This window comes from Homo sapiens, chromosome 6 (genome assembly GCF_000001405.40).
Source record: "Homo sapiens chromosome 6, GRCh38.p14 Primary Assembly".
Classification (NCBI taxonomy): Eukaryota; Metazoa; Chordata; class Mammalia; order Primates; family Hominidae; genus Homo; species Homo sapiens.
This window is the reverse complement of record NC_000006.12, coordinates 148,520,942-148,536,285: the sequence shown is the minus strand read 5'-3', so window position 1 is coordinate 148,536,285 and position 15,344 is coordinate 148,520,942. Positions and strand designations below refer to the sequence as shown.

Below are 15,344 nucleotides of genomic sequence, written 5' to 3'. Positions count from 1 at the left end.
GAGCTGTTTCTGGGCAGATGTGGTTCGGGACAATAGATGCTTTAATACTGATTCATACTAATTGAGCTGGTAGGCTACACCAGTTACCGTGCAGGCTCTTTACACGCAACCTGGCCACAGACCCCAAAGTGTCTCTTGGGCAATCAAATACTTACTTAAAAGACCTTGTTATAAAGTGATATTAACTATGAATCACAATTGCCTCCAAATCTATCCCAAATCTATCCCTAAAGGCAGCCTGTTTATCTTAGGCTCAGACATCTATCTGATGGTGTGTGTTTCTCTAGCTTACCAGTTCATTTAGAGGGACTGCCTATTTAGCAGAAGGGAATTTCACCTAATGACACTTGCTTCCACGTTTCTCAGGCCTGATACATTTCAGTAATGTATAATTCTTTTTTCCACCATTAACCATGGTTTTGGTGTGTCTTTTAGCAACAGAAATGCTATTAGCTACTGATATCCCTGAAGCAGAGTCCTTGAAGGAAAACGTGTTTGAATTCAGTAACTGGAAAGGATACTCCTTTAAGATGAATGATTTCAGGAATATTTCTGATGGCAGATTGAATAATACAGAGCAAGATAAGACTGAGTTAATGGAGCAAAGGGTATGGTGTATTCAAATAGACAGACTTCATAAAAGCTGTGAGCTCAGTGATGATTCTGCTCACAGGCTGTAAAAATAAGCTGTCATTTAGGTTGGGAATTTGCAAGCCAATCGATACGGAATTCTCTGCTCTACATATTCACTGCGGAGAGACGTCTCCTCCTTTAACGAAAGCTGATGAATTTCATTTATTCACTAACCAGTCTATTCAATAAGAACACAACTCCTCGTGTGCTCTGAGAAGTAATCAAGCTTTGGCTGAGCGAAAACCTCCCAGCTGGTCAGTCACTTTTGTGCTCAGCTGTCCCAATGGCCTGCTGGAGGCTGCACCTCTCAAAAGTACTGAAAGTGGAGTCTACCCATTTTTTTGGGAAAACTGTAATTCCATTCTTGCAGACACTTGGTGCAGAATCCTCTTCAACTATCACCTAGAAACATGCCCGGAAAGGTGGCGGCGGCACAGGAGGTTTTCTTTTGTTCCCATGTCTGCACTGGGAATTTATGATTTTGTGCTGTTTGACCTTGGCATGGGAAAGAACAGGACAGAATAAGTGACTCCAGGGACCTAAGCACATACTGGCAGCGTAGGTGGGGCCTGCTGTGGCAGACCTCACAGGGAACACCTCTGTGCGTACAGGGACTTACTGTCATACTCTTGTAACAGAAAGAACAGGACAGAATAAGTGACTCCAGGGACCTAAGCACATACTGGCAGCATACGTGGGGCCTGCTGTGGCAGACCTCACAGGGAACACCTCTGTGCATACAGGGACTTACTGTCATACTCTTGTAACAGCTCCACTGCTGTCAAGAGAACAGCTCTGTGTTCCGGGTCCCTGATATTTAACTCATCCAAGTCTTCCTCCTCCAGCAGCTTAAAGGTGTCCAAATCTTCATATCCATTGAACAGGAAAGTGGGCATGTGCTCCTGTGAGAGGGAGAAGGAAGACAGAAGGGTGTCAGCCAGCCCAGACACATGATAACACCGCCAACAACTAGCCTGCAACCCACACACTGTTCCCATAGTCACCTTCAGGCTAATCAAAAGATTAGTAAGTATCATTTGCAATGGATCCTGTACATCCCAGCCCTCTGGCTTAGTAGGCAAGCAGGGTGTTTTATTAATCATGGGTTAGGAAGATGTACATTGCAGGCTGTGATGGATTCTGCTGGCTTGCACTATAATTGTACTCTTGATAAGAGCTAATTCCTTTACCTCCACAGAGCCCACAACAGAGGAGACTCCTCCTCCACTTACAGAGCTATTAAAATCCAGCTTTTAAGTCCTCAGGATCAAGAGTTTTGCAAAGAGGAAACATAATCTCTCATTGCAGACTCATGCTAGTAGATGCCTGGAGTGATGGTGGGAGAGAGGTGGGCGCAGAGTTTCCTTGTGGCCCCTGTGGAGCTAGCTGCGATCAAGGTGCCAGGAGTTTCTGCCTACAGCTCTTCCAGCAGCAAGGTTTGACCCGGGGCTTACGCTATCACCCACAGCTGAGGTCAAGGGCAGTGTTGGAAAACTGGTAACTAACTAACTCTTTCTGTAGAATAATGAATGCTCATCATAGTAACGAGCTGCCCTTATTGGACCACACAGATCAGCCCCAACCCTACCCTAAAAATGCCCTCACTTGCTTAGTGTAGGAGAGAAAAAGGCAGTGAGGTAGTAGCGTGTGACAAGAATCAGAAGCGACTGACTTTTAGGTTAATCCGATCCAGGAGATCCTCCACAGACTTGGGCTGGGGTGGTCGTCCTTTCCGACGCCTCCTGGTGGGGCGTTTGGGTTTCTCCTCGTCTTCACTGAGCACGTCCACGTAGATGAACTTGAACGTGCCGACTTTGTTGTTCAGCAGGCCCATCCAGGTCCCCATGGGTGGCTTGCTGATTATATCGATGATATCTCCTTTCTGTGGCCCAGGGAGCAAAGATCTTTCCATTAGGTACATTCCATGAACGTACAAATCAAGAATCTGTCAGATACACAGGTCATGCAGAAGTGAAGATGCCACAAAGGCCAGAATCGGGGTCCCACAAGTCACCCCTCTGAGTGACCTGCATAGGATGTGACTGTGAGCTCCGCAGAGGCCAGACAGGTGTCTCTGACTGTACGGAATTCCACGCAGGCCCCCGGTCACAGCCCCTCCACCCTCCTGCCCTGCAGAACCAGGGGTGCCTGGGGTACCCCTGGTGCTCTCAGCCAGGCTGCCCGCCCGGCACTCTGAACGCCTTCCCTCCTCAGAGGGCTCCCACTTCTTAGAGGAGGCACTTCCCACCTGTCCTAACCAGTGGCAATCCCGGCCCTGTCATGGCTGCACACACTTTGTGGAACCCCATCTGTCCCATAAAGGTACCTCTGAGCACACAGAAGGCAGAAATCTTTCTTCAGATGGAGAAAACACAGAAACCAGGTGTGTGGAGCAGGAGCCAGGTGGGGAGAGGGAGGGTGTGCAACAGGAATTCTAGAGGGAAGCTGAGGTCAGAGGGGTGAAGTGATGCTAACCCAGGGATTAACACGAGACCCTCCCTCTGCCTCGAGGGCTGGCTGGTTCTTGTTCTGTTTTTCACTACAGAGGAGACCAGTGATCGAGGTAGCCAAGATACTGTCCAGTCTGTACCATAGTAGCCCAGCATTCAACAGTGAGGAGGAAAGAAAGCCTCCTAGAGAAATGGAAGAGCCCAGTTAGCTGCTCTGAGGCCAGGGAGAGAGATACCTTGAGCTTGAGTGAGTCTGTGTCATAGGGACTGGGGGTGAAGTCGGTGTGCACCCTGGCACGCCCGCAGAACGGGCCTCGGTAAGGCGGCTCTTCGTCATCCCCATCTTCCGACTTGACGCTTTCCCGGTTGCTGGTTGAGGAATCAGTGGTGCTCACTGTTTGACCGCCTGTACAGGAAACATAGGAAGAACACGGGTAGATCCAGATTTCCCACCCAGCAAAGCAGAAAGGTATTGAAGGTATGGCAGATTAGGAAATGAAGGCCCAGAGAAAGGAAGCCTTGAGCCACAACCCTCTGTCAGGACCAGGGCAGGGCCCAGTTATGAATTCTCCGAGTGCTATCCCTCAGCTCCTCAGTGGACAGGGGACTCACAGCAAGTTACCCTCATGACCTGGGAATCCATGTGGCACGGAGGATCCCGCGTGGAGGACACTGCAGGGCCAGGCACCAGACTCTGCTCTTAACATTCGTGACCTCTCAGTGGTAATGCACACTCTCTCTAACCATTTTACAGATGAGGAAACAAATTCAGAGCAGTCATGTCATTTGCCCAAAAGGGTAAGAAAGAGCTTAAAGTGGTAGGTTTAAACTTGATCTCGGGGCACGGTGGCTCACGCCTATAATCCCAGCACTTTAGGAGGCCGAGGTGGGCAGATCGCTTGAGTCCAGGAGTTCCACCAGCCTGGGCTACATGGCAAAACCCCGTCTCTACAACAAAATTAGCCGGGTGTGGTGGCATGACCCTGTAGTACAGCTATGCGGAAGGCTGAGGCAGGAGGATCCCTTGAGCCAGGGAGGTGAAGGTTGCAGTGAGCTGAGATCACAACACTGCACTCCAGCCTGGGAGACAGTGAGACTCCATCTCAAAAATAAAAATAAAAATAAAATAAAGTTGATCTTTTCCTTCATACCATTCAGCCAACTCCAACTACCATTGGCCCGAATTTATCAGTCACATATAAAATTCCCCTCCCTTCCCCACTCCCTTTATTTTGCTGGTCATCTTCATGTGCTTGTCTCCCTGGCTTATTCCCCCTGCTCTCTAGATCCTTCCTCTGAGATGCTTTCCCTATTGTCTCCGATCAAAATTCATCACCTCCTGTTTTGGGCTGCTGCTGCTGCATGTCTACTAATAAACAAACACGACTCTGAGTCCAGAGAGTTTATTGGTCTGATTCTCTAATAGCACCTGAAGGGCAGGACTTGGTCTTATTCACCTTGAAATTGCCTGAACCTAGTGCTCAGTATATGTCAGATATTAACTCCAAAGAAAATAATCTACAATGACAAACTCGACTTACTCATGGAGCTCTGCCCACTGAGAGAACTGCGAAGACTTTCTACAGAACCCCCGGCCTTGAGCTTGGGCTTGTCCAAGTGTTCGGGGTCGGGCTGTGAAGGCGGAGGGGAGCCAGGCATTCCATCAAGGCCCGAGTCCTGCCATGGGTTTCAACAAAATGAAGAAGTTCATCAGAGTGGACAGGTGTTGTTTTGTAATTCTCAGCGACTTGGCCTTCAACGAAATCAATCAAATCAATCTATACCTATATTTGATTCTATAACCAATATTCTCCTCCTCTTAAACTTACATCCTCGCTTACTTTTAAAGTCGTGGCCAATGTCACTATTTATTAAGCACTCAAATACTATTTCTCATTCTCGAATAGATATTCTTGGAATCTCCAAGAAAAAAAAAATCTGTCTACCACACAGACAAAATACTTAAAGGTTTAGAGACTCAGCATACGCAAAAGCCCAGTAGCAAGGCTGGACTTCAAATGTAGATCAAGTACAATCCATGATTACTAGAATACCTGGAAGTGTAGTCAGAGGATATTTAATCTACTTGGATAGGAAACATGCACTTTTAAAAAAGTGTATTCCTGGAAAAAAAAAATTGGCTAGATTCTTATATTTCTATTTGTACAAATTATTGGCATTGGATAAGGAAACATGAATTTAAAACCCACATATACAGCAAACATACTATTTTCCAGTCTACCATAAAATTTCCATATGTTACTCTAAAGTTTTAGCTTCTTTCACTTTTCTAAAGTGTTGTCAGTAAAAAGCTGGGAAATCTCTTTCACACCAGAATCCTGATGGGAGTGACTCAGCAGTACTTCCTGCATTTTGAGTAGCTAAGTATTATCCTCTCAGCGGCTCCTCATTTGCACATTTGAGTATAGCATGCTTATTTGATTCGTGGTGCTACATCAATAGACGATATCACACTTCAGAAAGTTTGCAGTGAGAATTGTTTACTTGCCAAAATAGAAAAGTCTCTGGCATATTACATATGGCCGCAGCCACACGGGCTCAAAACCAGCTAAAATGAAACCTGCTATTTGCATGCTGCCGAGTCATCAGAAGGGCCTTAACACAGCTCCGCAGGTCCTGCAAACATCTGAGGACATCAGCAACAGCAGCTTCTGATCCAACACACATTAGTGCTTTCAATGTGAGGAAAGTGAGCAAGCGACCTCAAAAACAACAAAGAAAACTAGAGCTGACATTATTAGGAAGTTACTGAAGCTCCAAAGTATGAATTCCTTAAAAAAAAAAAATTCATTCCTCCTTTCTGCGTCATAAAATAAGTAACTTTTTTCCCATTAAAATCTTCTGTAATGCTTCTGAAAAAAGCACGCAGTTTGAAAAACAGCAATAGTAAATGTGGGTCTCTGATATATTTTCAAATGCTTTAAAAAATTATTAATTTATTCATCACATGTTTATGAATTACCTACAATAACAGGCACTAATCCAGGTATTGGGCATATAGCAGCAACGGAGAAAACAAATATCCCTACCATAATGGTTGGTATATTTACTAAAAAGTTTTTTTAAAAAAACACACAAGGTGGGCGCAGTGGCTCATGCCTGTAATCCCAGCACTCTGGGAGGCTGAGGTGGGTGGCTCACGAGGTCAGGAGTTCGAGACCAGCCTGGCCAACGTAGTGAAACCCCATCTCTACTAAAAATACAATAATTAGCCGGGTATGGTGGCACGTGCCTGTAGTCCCAGCTACTCAAGAGGCTGAGGTGGGAGAATCGCTTGAACCCAGGAGGCAGAGGTTGCAGTAAGCCGAGGCCACACCATTGCACTCCAGCCTGGGTGACAGAGTGACACTCCGTCTCAAAACAAAAACAAAAACAAAAAAAAAACAACCACATAAAACCTTCCATTATTTTTGCTTTACAGAAAATTTATAATGATCAGTTGTTTCTTTTATTCCTTAACTTATGTGAAATGGCTGCTTTAAAAAAACAGAACTAAGCACATAAGATTGCTATATGGTAGTAAAATTATTGAAAAATGCCAAAATGACATTAAAATTCTATGCTTCTGATTCATAAAGCAGAAAACCTCTGTGAACGTAAAGCTTAAGAGTTTTAGTGGCTGTTTCAATCTATCTTGGGGAAAAGCAAACTTAATAAAATGCTTTCAATTAGTAGCATGCTCTCACTAGCATGCTGACTGCTTCATTGCTGGGAAGAAATATAGAATCACTATCACTCCGTCACCCACAAGGACAAGAGAATGAAAAGAATAAAGAAAAAAAATCATGGATAAGACATGCTGAAGGCAGTCCAGACATCTATCTCCTGCAGGTCTAACAAGCCACGGTTTCTCAGCCTGAGCACTGATCATTTTGATGGACAGCTCTTTGCTGTGCAGACCGTCCTGTGCATGCTAAGATGTTTGGCAGCGTCCCTGGCCTCTATCCTCTAGATCAGCATTCTCCAACTCCCGGGCCACGGACCAGAACCCGTCTGTGGCCTGTTAAGAAGTGGGCCGTACAGCAGGAGGTGAGTGGCGGGTGAGCAGGCCAAGCTTCATCTGTTTTCACAGCCACTCTCCATTACCCGCATTACTGTCTGAGCTCCACCTCCTGTCAGATCAGCGGCGGTATTAGATTCTCGTAGGAGCACGAATCCTATTGTGAATTGTGCACACGAGGCATCTAGGTTGCACGCTGTTTATGAGAATCTAATGCCTGATGATCTGTCACTGTCTCCCATCATCCCCAGATGGGATCATCTAGTTGCAGGAAAACAAGCTCAGGGCTCCCACTGATTCTACATTATGGTGAGTTGTATAATTATTTCATTATATATTACAATGTAATAACAATAGAAATGAAGTGAACAATAAATGTAATGCATGTGAATCATCCTGAAACCACCACCTACACCAGCTCCGTGGAAAAATTGCCTTCCACGAAACCAGTCCCTGGTGCAAAAAGATTGGGCACTGCTGCCCTAGATGCCAGCAATATCCACTCCACTTCACCTCAACCCAGTCTGACCATTGAAAGACATTGCCCTGGAGTCCATGGGGGAGCAAAATGATAGCCTCTCACCCCTTCCCCGTGAGAACCACTGTAATCAACTGAAGCTGCTGTGCAGGCTTTGTTTGAATCAAGTGAGGTGGGTGGCAGGCTGGTGACGTTCGGTCATTCGCATAGGGGCGATGCTTGGTTTTAGCTCACTGTGCCCACCAGAGAGCAGCAGCTGAGCAAAAATGTCTGCTTTTCCTGCTGTTTTTATTTGGTAGATAAAGTGCATTACCTACATATTTCAAGCAGACAACCAGCTCATACACAGGAACTTCAACAGGCTACAAAATGAGTGCTATACAGGTGCTGGAGGAGAGTGTCTTGAAAATTGAATGGTCATAATTACCTTGAGGCCCAGCTCTCCAACTATCTTTACTCCCTCCACCCATGCAATTTAGACAGAAACAGTCATTTCTCTAGCAATGAAATTATAGATCCAGGGGGGAAAAATCAATTCTATGATACCTTCCTTCATGGCTACAGATAAGGCAAATGAGGGAAAACACCCCTCTCTGAAACATTATTACCAAAGCCTGGTACCCAGGAAGAACTTTGAGTTTATTTCTTAGACTGGCTATGTGCTTCTAGAACAACTTATGCTATGATCGACAAGTCTACTGCCACCCCCCCCCCCAAAAAAAAAAAGCTTTAGGTTTGATTCAGGTAACATCCATTTTGTAGCAAGGCATAGTTTAGAAAATAAAATCCTTCCTTTGTATTCAAATTTACAACGCTTAGTGCACTGAAGAATAACCATTTCTTTACATGTCTGTCTCTCTTGTCTGTACACAGAAGGCAAGTTCTGTATTTTGTATTCCCAGCACCAAGCACGGTGCTGAGCAGCCCAAAGTGCTTAATAAACGTGTGTTGAATTCAGTGTTTCTCTACGTAAATAAAGCACGGACTTGGAGCAGGTTAATGCCAAGGAGTATGTGTATTTAGCACCATTTAAAATCTCAGAAGGGCCATTCTCAGCTTTTCTTGTCAGGAAGAACCAAGGGAACATTCTACCAGGTAGCTGCATACCTGCTCAGAGACAGAGCTGCTGTATTTTTTAGACATTCTCTTTCTCATCGTCTCTTTCACTGATTTCACCTTTTTCCCAAGAGAGATGCGAGAGGCAGTAGGTGATTTGATGACTTCTTTGTACACAAAGTCTCCTTCTTTACCCTGTAAAACAAAATGTTGCAAGTATTGTTGGTCGCAGAAAATGAAGAACAGGTTTTATTATTTAAACCATTAACATCCTAGCTCTCAGAAATATTGACATTCCTCATGGATCTTGACGTTTTTCTTGTGTTAACTCAGTGCTATTATTTATCTCTTTGATTAAAAATTAAAGCTTATTGACTATTTTTGTTTGCTTAAAGTGGGATGTGAGTCACTTTTTATTTTACTTACTTTTAGTACATTCTTATCAGGTTACATTTTTTCCACTATTTTTAACATCCAAGGGGGCTGCATTTCATCAGTAAAGAGTGATTTACCTTTGGGAGGCTGAGGCAGGTGGATCACGAGGTCAGGAGATCGAGACCATCCTGACTAACACGGTGAAACCCCGTCTCTACTAAAAATACAAAAAATTAGCTGGGCGTGGTGGTGGGCGTCTGTAGTCCCAGCTACTCAGGAAGCTGAGGCAGGAGAATGGTGTGAATCCGGGAGGTGGAGCTTGCAGTGAGCTGAGATCGCGTCACTGCACTCCAGCCTGGGCGACAGAGTGAGACTCCCTCTCAGAGGGAAAAAAAAAAAAAAAAAGTGATTTACATGAACCAATGTTCATGTAATCCCAGCAATGGGGGAGAATAGAGGGATAATACTACCGAATTGCCTGGAGAAAGAGATTAGAACAAATGGTGAAAGCTCAGTCGTTAGAAGAGCAACATCTGATTGGATTTCCATCACCATAGCACTCAGTGTGTAAATTTCTCTCTCTTAAAGAGCTAGATTGTGGTCATCTCTCATTCTAGTCTGCATTTTTTTAAAAAACAAACTTCTCCCTGAGAAAGAAAAAAATCATATTTTCTCTCATTTCTAAAAAAGATTGACAGCAGAAAACTATTGGCTTAAGAATCAATATAATTCGATAGCCAAATAAAATAGTTTAATTCTCTTCCAGGAAATTTTCAAAACATTTCATATATATCCCAGGTGGGTATTTTAGCTGACCCATGATCATAACAAATATGAAACATGAAATCTTCATTTTACAGTTTTATGACACAATGCAAAGGACAAGCTAAACTACATGTAAGACTCACCAAAGGCCGGGCGCGTGGCTCACACCTGTAATCCCAGCACTCTGGGAGGCCAAGATGGGCGGATCACAAGGTCAGGAGTTCAAGACCAGCCTGGCCAACATGGAGAAACCCCATCTCTACTAAAAATACACAAATTCTCTGGGCATGGTGGCGTGCACCTGTAATCCTAGCCAGTCGGGAGGCTGAGGCAGGAGAATTGCTTAACTGGGATCTGGGAGGCAGAAGTTGCAGTGAGGCAAGATTGTGCCACTACACTCCAGTCTGGGCTACAGAGCGAGACTCCATCTTAAAAAAAAAAAAAAAAAAAAAAAAAAAAAAGACTCACCTTCACCCTTGGGGTCTGAGAAAGCAAATTTCAGGAAACAAAACTTGTGTGCCACTGTGGTGGCCTGTCCCTAGACTATGACCCCAAAGCAGGTCTGAGAGGGCAGACACCTGGGCCTGACACCAGACCCCTGAGGGATCTGGTCTGCTTTGGTCCCACAGAGACTGGGTTCATTCCAGGACACCCCAGACCACAAAATCCTAGGCTTAGTATAGGCCATGTGGGGCCAGGTACTGGGCCCATAATAAGACTGGTGTTCCAAAATGCCAGCACATACTCTTGGGGACCAAATCACAGGGCTCCACTTCATGGCACTATGTGTGTGTAGTAGTTACATGCTTGCAACTAGCAAGAAGAAAAGGCCGTGTGCAAAATGACTCAGACCACAGAGGCCAGACTTATCTGGATTTGTTACTTGAAGAAAACTGGAAGCAAAGGCATTAAAGGAACTGTGCTACTCAAGGAAGGAGATGGCAGTGAGAGTGGTCATCATTCATTCCACGTGGAACAGTGGAGTCTGTAAGGCAAGTGAAATAGAGCTTTTTTCCAAACGTGACTCAGGATTACCAAGGAAAACGGTACCCAGTATCAATTCTCAAAGATACTCAATGGTGAACTATTGTCAACCTCATCGCCTGAATCCATATTTTTTGCTTTCCTCTGATGTTACTCACCATTGGGTCAGAATTATTACTGCCAACGTGCAGAGAGCGATTCGTCAAGTCAAATCCTCCAAAACTGCAGGTTCTCTGTGGAAAAGAGGGTAGGGCAGAAAAACTTCAGTTATGCTTAAGCCAGCCGGCAGTGCACCAACCCAGCAGTCCCCGTTTGCAGGACATCTCTGAATCACAAATACGTGGACAGGATGAAAGTAGAAAACGAGAAATGATGAGAAAAAAACACATGAGTCATGTCGTAAGGAAACTTCACTCATTTTTCCCTTTCACAGGCCACTGGAACTCTGCCTACCCCAGAGGTCTAGAATCCCCTTAACATGCAAAAACCAACCATTTTTTTTAAAAAGCCTAAAAAACAAAAGAAAAACCCTCCATGAGTCCAGTGCTGTGAGATTCCCTGTCTCCAGCACAGAACTTCCCCTAACATCAGCTACATTCAGTAGAGATAATGAAGGGATATGTGTTAGAGGATCCATGTACTCAGGCATCCTGAAAACCCAGGTTTGAAATCCCACGGCTCTGACACCAACAGCAAGCTTTTCAAACAGACTTTCATTTTGTTTAGCTTTAAATCGCTGAGAAGAGGGGGGGAGAAGGTTATGTTTACAGTTGTCCAATCAGGCCAAGAGAATTACTCACTCACCGCTTCCCCATCCTAGCCAAAAACGCTGGTAACTTTCCCATCGAACTGCCCAAGTTAATTCATGGTGACCCTTTTCTCTCAGTGAATGAAGATGCCACATTTGCCCAGAAAGAAAACGGTTGATTCAGTGACTGTGTTTGACCACACTTTTTAATTTCAGTAGGAACAATGCTGATGTTATAAAGAATGAAAACTTTATTATCCTTTTAGGTGGTTGCAAACTTCACGGAACTGCTTATATCTTAGTGATTTCTGTATTTGCAGAACTTGATTCAAATTCACTGTTGTTTTTCTAGTAAAAGCCACTGAGTGACCGCCCTGTGCCCCACAACACACATTAATGTTACAGCTAATTATCTTTTTTAAAAATCAGTAATAAAAGTTTAATTGTAGATTCGGGCTTCAATATTTTGTATTACCAGCTTCTCAGAGAAGTCTAATGAACAGCTATTAAATGGAAGAAATGAACAGAAAAGTACAATGTATTAGGTTGGTGCAAAAGTAATCGCAGTTTTGCCATTATTTTCAATGGTAAAAACTGCGATTACTTTTGCACCAACCTAATATACTATAAGCATTGCTTATTCATTAAAAAAAATATATATATATATATATATATATAATTAACTGAATTGATAAAGTAGAAACATCCTAGAAGGAAAATGCCTACATTTTTGAAATCACAGAAATCTAGATGCAAATCCTGGTTCTGCCACTTACTTGCTGTGTGATCTCAGGTAAAGTACTTACACTCTCTGAGCTTTAGATTCTTCATTATTAAAATAATACTTATATCATATTTGAAGCCTTCTAGCGCACTGCCTGGCACAAGGCAGACACTCTATGAATGCTGGTTTCTTCCACTACTTTTCATTAAGGCTGTACTGAGAATGTGGTAGTCATCCTGACAGCTGTTATACTGAAGTTGAGGCTTAGTTAACATTACAAATATGCAAATACAGGGCTGGAGCTTTGTTCTGGGCCTTACAATCTAATCTGGGAGTTCAACTATAAAATCAGAGCATACCAGGAATGGGCCACAAAGTGAGAGACGGCCATTGGGGTCTGGAGAGGGCCAGGAGATAAGGAAAGCATTTCGTGACAACTGACATCAGGAGGTCTCAGAGCTGTTCTTATTCACCGATGCTGCTGCTGCTGCTGCTACTACCGACTTGTTTTCTAATAGACATTATCCTAATTCTGTATTAAATATCAATGGGCAATCTGATTTCTCTTATCGTCAGCTTAACTGGACCTATATCTATTCTATAGAAAGAGAAAAACCTTTCTACACAAATATATTCACCAAATCACCTAACTGGGTAAGCAATGTTATGACCACCTCTCAAGGCTAATTTTTAACATTAACCTTCTCTTTCCAGCTTATAATGCCATGTACATTTCCTCCTTCTTGCAAAAGCAGTGATTTTATTCTAGTTCCTTTCCCGTGACTCAGGGCTTCACAGACATGGTATGGCACCCAGATGCCTCATCATTGTATGGCTTTTGCACGTCCCTGCTTTAAACCACAGCATCTACTGCAATGTTGGAGCCCAAGTTATTTCTGATACATATGAAATAAGTGACAAAGAATTTATGTGGAAATTATGACTGCAATAAATTAGAATCTCATTTAAGTTTTCACATGCCTATTGTATGCATTTATTTCTAAAATGAAAAACTGAAAGAATGGACCAGTTTTCTTAACTACCAACTAAAACCTCTTTCAGTGATAGGCTAAGATATCTGGAATTGATTCTTTTTTACAGTGGAGGAGTGACAAAGAATATAACAATAAAGATTGCTTGAATTAATTTCTAACTTTTTCTATAAGATCAAGTAGTTCTTTAAACAGCATTCCTTCAAAAGAGAAAATGGACTGTAAAGAGACTCATAAAAAATAAATCAATACATGAACCAGCCCTTGACGTTGATGACCTAAATAAATGAAGCCTAAATGAAGTTTTTTTAGTTCACACACTTCCTGTACTGAAAATTATAAAAACACTTTAGATAGATGCTTGGGATGAGGAGGGCTAGTCAATGGAATGGCCATGCAGTTGGAAACACATGTTTTGGGGTTGAATTCAAAAATGGACAAAATTGCAAAATGTCATGCATGTCTGTTCTCTCAAACAAAAATTGAATGACCAAATAAAATACGAGACAAGTGACCACTTCCAGTGGATACAAAGCATTATCATTTCCCTGAGGCTTCATCAAGCAAATATGGCATTTTCGAAAGACAAAGAGCTTGAGGTTGAAGAATAAAGGAAACTTTTAGATAAAATGAAAGAAATATGACAAGGAGAATGGAAAATAACCTTTTAAATAAATCTAGCAAAGAAATAAGATTAATCCCTTTTTAAAAAAGTTCTTTCTATTGTAAGATGATAGAACACTTATTTACATTCTCTGGATAATTAGAAAGTTAAATTTGTTTGATTGTACAACTGTACTACAAGAAAAGGAATATGCAAATATATAACTTCCTACTGAACACATATTTTTGCAAGTGTTCAAACTGTCCATTAGTGTCTCAAGCTCACAGTATTTTAAAAATACTCAGCCTCAGACTGATACTTGGGATAGGGATTACACAGGAGCACGTTAGGTGGGGGCGGTGCCTGGAGATGAGCTTGCCCAAATGTCCATACTCAATGTCAATGAAGAATTAATCACTGGCCTACAACACTAACTAGCACAAATCCCAGAAATATAACTTCTAGAGACAAGGCCCTCATGGAGTTATAGTATTAATCTGACAGTAAATAACATGAGAGGCACATCAACAATTCAAGGTGCTCAGATTGGGAAATTTCTCAGTATTACATGATGTAAACTCACAGAGGTGAGTCATCAATTAACAGAAGAAGTGCGTCTGTTCTATCAAGGTCATGTCAAAACATACAAGAGCAGATGAATTGGGTAGAACACTTCTGAAAGTAAAAAATAAATACATAAAACTAAGACTGGTTATTTTTCAAAATATCTGTGAGTCAGAGCAAACCAGAGGCTGAATGAGTGAGAAAGAGAATTGTTATTTTAAAACAAAAACTCAACCATTGAAAAACTGTTGCCATGATACAGAAAGAGCCAGAAGAAAAGTTCCTGCTACATACTAGTAGTATTAAAAGTGCTGCAAGAATTACATGAATATGAAAGGACAGAAAATAAGGAAAGTCAACATGTGGAAATATGTGGAAAACCCAGGGGCTAGGAAGGACCTAAGGATTCTTTTACAACAGAGAAGGTCGTTTTAAGAATGGCATTGACCAATCCGTCTTCACTTTCACAAAAGCAGAACCCGACTGAATGAATTTAAATTACACTGATCGTCTGGGGAAGAACATCCTGTTCATGAACGGGAAGGCCCCCTGGGAAAACCACTATTGAAGGACACTCTATTCTTTCAGGTCTTTAAAAGGGCCCACAGCCAACTGTCCTGAGCAGATCAAGCAAGGTGCCAGGTGACAGAGGGCCAAGAAATCTACTTCCTCACTTTGCACCATTTTATATGTGCCACTGTGCAAACTAAAAGTTAGGTGGGAATTTCAGAAGGAAAAATATCTATATTCTGAAGTTCAAAGTAAGTCATGCCTTGAAAATAAATCTTACTAGGTCTCTGATCATCCAGCGTTAAAAGTGAAAAACATCCTACTCTTTGAAAGTGAGTACTTTATTCCTTGCTGAGTACAGAAGAATCTATAGGCTAGGGGAAGGCATTTCCAAATGTTGATTTGTTTATAAAGATAAGAACATGGAATAGACTTAAGTA

The 15,344-nt window shown here is 42.6% G+C and overlaps 1 protein-coding gene across 17 annotated transcripts in view, besides 2 other annotated features; it reads right to left on the bottom strand.

The window, feature by feature from the left end:
• Positions 1-15,344, bottom strand: part of SASH1 (SAM and SH3 domain containing 1) — a 358,577-nt gene that overhangs the window by 15,759 nt on the left and 327,474 nt on the right. For all 17 annotated transcript variants that reach the window (XM_017010599.2, XM_024446384.2, XM_017010600.2 and 14 more), the window contains 6 exons: positions 10,921-10,995; positions 8,690-8,833; positions 4,625-4,760; positions 3,320-3,489; positions 2,306-2,515; positions 1,385-1,535 (listed from right to left, as the gene is read on the bottom strand). In XM_017010599.2, the coding sequence (XP_016866088.1) occupies positions 1,385-1,535; positions 2,306-2,515; positions 3,320-3,489; positions 4,625-4,760; positions 8,690-8,833; positions 10,921-10,995 (886 nt within the window). The remainder of the gene's footprint in view (positions 1-1,384; positions 1,536-2,305; positions 2,516-3,319; positions 3,490-4,624; positions 4,761-8,689; positions 8,834-10,920; positions 10,996-15,344) is intronic.
• Positions 2,284-2,783: an enhancer, noted in NCBI's record as "H3K4me1 hESC enhancer chr6:148854639-148855138 (GRCh37/hg19 assembly coordinates)". NCBI's record gives its function as "activates a minimal SCP1, AML or CMV promoter by ChIP-STARR-seq in primed H9 embryonic stem cells {active_cell/tissue: H9 hESC(primed)}" and the evidence as "EXISTENCE:reporter gene assay evidence [ECO:0000049][PMID:30033119]".
• Positions 2,784-3,285: an enhancer, noted in NCBI's record as "H3K4me1 hESC enhancer chr6:148854137-148854638 (GRCh37/hg19 assembly coordinates)". NCBI's record gives its function as "activates a minimal SCP1, AML or CMV promoter by ChIP-STARR-seq in primed H9 embryonic stem cells {active_cell/tissue: H9 hESC(primed)}" and the evidence as "EXISTENCE:reporter gene assay evidence [ECO:0000049][PMID:30033119]".